Here is a 6,000-nt window from a genome sequence, read left to right on the forward strand (position 1 = left end):
TCAAAGCAGAAGAGGACATTATATTTAACAGTTTTTAAGTTTAGTTTAAGATGGTAAAATATTTAAATGTCTGGTTTCTGGGTCTCCATTTGTTTTTTTTCCCACAAATATTAGGAGTAGGCCTAGATAAAAGGAGTTGCTTTTCATTGTAGGCTCAAGAGACTGATGTTTCTCTGTATCCTGATTCCATGTACCTTTTCTGAAATAATCAGTTTGCACTGTTTTCCCTTGTTGACTGTCCTATAATAACCTTCCTGCATACAGTTGTCCCTAGGTATCCACAGGGGACTGGTTCCAGGACCAGTGATACCAAAATTCATGGATGCTCAAGTCCCTGATAGAAATTAGCATAGTATTTGCATAAAACCTATGCACATCCTCCTGTATACTTGAAATCATCTTTAGATTCCTTATAATACCTAACCCAATGTAAGTGCTATGTAAAGAGTTGTTTTACTATATTGTTTAGGGAATAATGACAAGAAAAAATAGACACCAGCCTGAGCAACATGGCAAACCCTGTCTCTACCAAAAATACACAAATTAGCCGAGCATAGTGGGTATGCCTGCAATCCCAACTACCAGGGAGCCTGAGGTGGGAGGATCACTTGGGCCCAGGAGGTTGAGGCTGCAATGAGCCGTGAGTGTGCCACTGCACCTCCAGCCTGGGCAACGGAGTGAGATCCTGTCTCAAGAAAAGAAAAAAGAAAAGACAAGACAAGACAAGACAGACACAACCATCCCTTTTTGTTTTGCAGAATATTTTCCATTCAAGGTTGGCTGAATCCACAGATGCAGAATCCATGGATAAGTAGGGCCAACAATATTTTTTAAGTTCTCTCTGAAAAGATATGCAAAGTAGTTCCAGAAACATGTTTGAATTTGAACTCAGCACATTAATTGGATCTTCATTTTTAAGTGGTTTTCATGTATTGTTAACAGGCTGTGTCAACGTTATTGATTTTTCTGTATCTCAATAATTTTTTGTTTGTTTACCTTATTAAATAATTGAAAGGACACTGGATCAGGACCCAGGAAACCAAAACTCAATTCCTAGTTATTCTCTTACTCAGTATGTTGAACCACTGTAAACGTCCCCAACTTCCCAAGAGAAATTATCATTTCCCAATAGAAAATGTCAATGTTAATATCAGCATATTTCCATAAGAATATGCGAAAGCTTATATTAGAGGATCTTTTTTTAACTATGAAAGGAAAATATCTATGTTGCAAAGCTATTCACAAAACTGTGGAATAAAGAATCAGGGCACAGCTGAGCTAAAGAAGTTGTAGGATAAGTGAGAAATTATTATTACATTACATCTTCATCATCCAACAAAAACAACCACAGCACTGTTAGAGAATGCAAAGTATAAAGATGCATAAACCGTTGTTTCACATCAAGGAGCTCTCTGTGCAGGCCAGCAGGGAACACAATGATGGTCTTTTCCCTAAATAGATGTGCAGTGCTATGGAGAGCCAAAAGAGAAAGTGGTATGTCACCATGGGGATCAGAAGGCATTTACCTGGACCTGCATGATAGAGAGGAAGGGACATAGGCAAGACTAGTGTATTGGTTGGAAGACTGGGGCAAATTTTGGAAAAGAAAAGTTTGGCTACAGTGTGGCACACCTGTGGAGGAAAACCTAGGACATAAGCCAGCCCAGATAACAAGCTAAGAAATTTGTTTAGGCAGAAGGGGGAGCTAGAGCAAATCAGTTCACATGCTCTCTCTGTCTCCTGTTTACACTGTAGTATTACAGGTGTTAGACGGTAGCAAGTCCTAGAGAAGTGTGTTGTGTAAGTCACTGTCATTCAACATTGTAAACAGCTAGGTAAAAGCAGAAAAAGTTCCAAAAGGTCTGTGCATGAAATCAAAGGATCCTTAGGCATGGGAGAAATTCCTAGAACTATAGGAAGAGGAAGAAGGTGATGAAAAAGAAAGGGTTGTGATATGCCTGAAGGTACTCACTCACACTGCAGTGGCTATAACACCCTGCAAGAAAAGTGGTCTCTGTTAACCCTCTCCTCATCAAGTCCTGCATCTTCTGTTTCACTATCATTCCCCCTATGGAGTCCCTTCTCTGCAGTAATGCTACTGCCTTTGCTGTGGTCCTCTGCATCTCTTGAGTAGCACATGCAGCTCTGCAAAGTTATGTACTGATGAGAATGAATTTCAGTTAAAGTTAAATGGCACCAGATCAGTTCCTGTGGGATATGAGAAACAAGAATGCTCTGAGCCACTGATGGGAGAAAAGGATGTCTGGACTATTGGAATAATTTGTTCTTACTGCTTCTGGACTTGACTGACTTCAGTCCACTCTTTATAGTGCCAAAAGAGAAAATTTGAAAGCAGCTGATTCGATCAAGTCCAACCAGGGACTTAGAGGTCATCTTTTCCAGGCTTTCCCAAACTTATGTCATCACTCGCAAATGAAAGAGATCCCCAGGTTCCTCCTGGGCCTGCTGGATCAGTCTCCAGGGAAGGGCCCAGGATTCCGTGTCTTTAACGACTTGAAATCCCCCAGGGGATCACTTTGCTCAGGCAATTTGGGGAAGCACTGATGGAGCCCATCACCTTTTATGACAGATGAGGAAACTCAGATCCTGGGAGACACATCAGTTACAGAAGTCCAGAAAATAAGGGCCAGAATCAGAATGGAGAGACTGGAAGGCAGAATAGCTGTGGATGAAACTGCAGACCTTATCATCATCTCACTGGTGTCTGTGCCAGAGCCCCATCTGAGATTCACCCTGGGGCTCCTGGGAGTGTGGGATCCTGGCAGTGGAGTGCCTCCCTCCCACTCCTTCAGCCCTGTGGGGCCACAACAGCTGCAACTCTTGAGCAGTGGGAAGGAAGAAAGGAAGGAGAGGGGAGGAAAATCCTGGACTGTGTGGCCACTGAGGAACCAGGATCAAGCAGAGCCTGGGGTACTTTTGCATCCAGCTTCTATTTGTCCAGAGACAGCTGAAGATGAACAAGATCTGCCTAAGGGCAAATTTTTGAGCCCAGCAGTACTTATCCCTGGTGCTTCCAGCCTTCCCTTTTTGCTTTCTATCTCCCCTCATGAGTAGCCTCGCCTCTTCTTCCCCCAGAGTCTCCTGTGCTCAGCCTTTTCTTCCCTAGAGCCATAGAAATGTCTCTGCGGTTGTCATCCATACTTTGACTGAAAACTGTTTTGCTGGGCTCAGTATTTGTTCTCTCCAGCCTTTCCCCCCGCTCTGTCTTAAGTATTAATATAAGGCCTAAAAGAATAAAGTATTTCAGATAACAGTAGCAGTGAAATAATATTTGTAATAGGAGACCAAGAATCCCAACTTGCCCTTGAAATTATATTTTTCCGAAGATTGCCTTAAAATTTTGTTCAGCCATTCAACACACATTTAATGAGCAGTACCTGTATAAAGCACTGTGTTAAATATTTGGCATTCAGGAGAGAATAACGGGAATTCGTAGAAAAATGAACAAGGCCTGGTCCTTCCCTTTAAGTTGCCCACAGTCTGGTGAGGATAACAATTCTAAGAGATAACACGGTATGATGGAGGTATCCATAACATAGATAGGAGCCTAGGGGAGGGCATAGTTAACCTCTGGGCCAGGACGAGGCTCTACAGAGAAGCTACAATTGAATTTGAACTTGAAGCATAAGAAGTTTTTCACTTGGGTGTTAACAGGGTGAAGGAAGCCGCATATACAAGGGAACAGAAACTTGGAAAAGTTTATCATGTTCAAAGAAAAAAAAACAACAACAACCAGAAGGTCCATATGGAAAGAGAGTAGAATGAATGGTAAAGAATAGATGGAAATGATGCTTAAAACGTAGGCTGCTAAGTAATTAATGTAACAGACTGTATTTTCCAAAGATGGCCTCATGGATACACATTCCATCCCACAGTATGGAGCTTACATTCCTTCATGTAGAGGTGAGGTCTTCTTGCAGGGCTTCAGACATCACAGAGCAATAACAAGTCAGCCCTGCTGTATTCTGCCCTAATGTCTACCCACAGTAAACATGAGAGATAATAAATGACTATTGCTGTTTGAAGCCACTAACTGTGGGGGTAATTTTTTACACAGCAATAAGATAACAGATACAAGTCATGTCAAGGAGTTGCTTGCTGGGAGAAATAATTTTTTTTCTTTATAAATTAAAACTAACAAACATTGAGGAACCAGTGAAGGTGTTTTTTGTTTGTTTGTTTGTTTTTTTATCAGGTAATGGCCTACGAATTGCAAATGAGAAAGACAGACCTGGTGCAATATGGAAATAGGTGGTGGGGGAAGGGCTGCTTAGGGGCTGGGAAAACCGAGAGGAGGTTGTCAGAGTTATCCAGGCCATGCAGGAGGGATGGTAGGGCAGGAAAGCAATTTCCATTTTTAAGGAATATTTTCTTAATTTCAGTTTTGTTTTGGAACTCTTTTACTTTCATGTAACCAAAAAGTAAGAGGCAAAATGCTTGAGCTGATTCTCTACCACTCCCCACTGTGGAGAATCATCCTTTTCTTCTGCTCCCTTATATCCAGATCCTAGACTTTCAGTCTATTGTCTATTGATGCCCTCGTTCCTCCCTAATGATGTCTAGTGGCAAAAATCCTGCTCCTCTTAATCGGTTTCTTTCTCCTTTTCTTCTCCCCACGTTTGAAGGTCATGATGTCATTCTCATTATCTAGACTTCCTGCTTCATCTAGCTCATCAGCATCCGGGTTCAGAGGGAACCTTAGTCCTGGGGTTCTATAGTATAGTTAACACGTTACAGGACAGGGGTCCCGATTCAGACCCCAAGAGAAGGTTCTTGGATCTCACGCAAGAAAGAATTCAGGGCGAGTCTGCAGTGCAAAGTGAAAGCAGGTTTATTAAGAAAGTAAATGAATAAAAGACTGGCTACTCTATAGACAAAGCAGCCCCGAGGGCTGCTGGTTGTTCATTTTTATGGTTATTTTTTGATGATATGCTAAACCAGCGGCGGATTATTTATGCCTCCCCTTTTTAGACCATATAGGGTAAGTTCCTGACATTGTCATGGTATTTGTAAACTGTCGTGGTGCTGGTGGGAGTGCAGTAGCGAGGACGACCAGAGGTCACTCTCGTAGCCATCTTGGTTTTGGTGGGTTTTGGCTGGCTCCTTTACTGCAACCTGTTTTACCAGCAAGGTCTTTATGACCTGTGTTTTGTGCTGACCTCCTATCTTAACCTGTGATTTAGAATGCCTTAACCGTCTGGGAATGCAGCCCAGTAGGTTTCAGCCTTATTTTACCCAGCTCCTATTCAAGATGGAGCTGTTCTGGTTCACATGCCTTTGACATTACTGCATACTATTTGACACCAAAGATGATTGTAAATACTGAAGGAATAACCATGTATTTATTAACACAAATGATTTAGTTGCATAAAGTATTGTTAATTGTATGATAGCCTTCACCACCTAGAGCAGGACTCTTTAATTGCTACCAATTGTCTGGTATACATGGTAGAGTGCAAACATCTAAGGGATATTTAGGAAAGTGATGCAGGCCAAAAAGAAAATGATTTAAATTTTTTCTCCACCTCATTTATGTTTTATTCTTCCTACCAAATATTAGACTCATCTCTAAATTTAAGAATCGTTGGCAATAAAATATTAATTCATTGTCATGCATTCTTTTTCATCTTAGTAGGATGTTTTATTCAACTTTTCTGGAATTTATTGAGCAATTTCTCTCTACTAGAATCTTACTCATTATCTTACTCAATCCTCACATCAAGTCCACAGTCTTATTTTTTATTTTCATTTTACAGTTAAGACAACCTTCCCCAATCTAAGTTAAGTGACATCCTCAAGGTTAAGTGGCTCATAATGATAAATCAGGGCCTTGAGGCTAGATATTTTGACTTTCCAATTCAGAATTCTTTTTGCTATATGCCAGAAAATGTGGTGGATTTAGGCCGTAGCTTTACAGAGACAGTAATTAAAGGCAAACTGCACAGTTATAATCATTGCATTTTTTTTTATCCACAAAGT

Source organism: Homo sapiens, chromosome 15 (assembly GCF_000001405.40).
Source record: "Homo sapiens chromosome 15, GRCh38.p14 Primary Assembly".
NCBI lineage: Eukaryota > Metazoa > Chordata > Mammalia > Primates > Hominidae > Homo > Homo sapiens.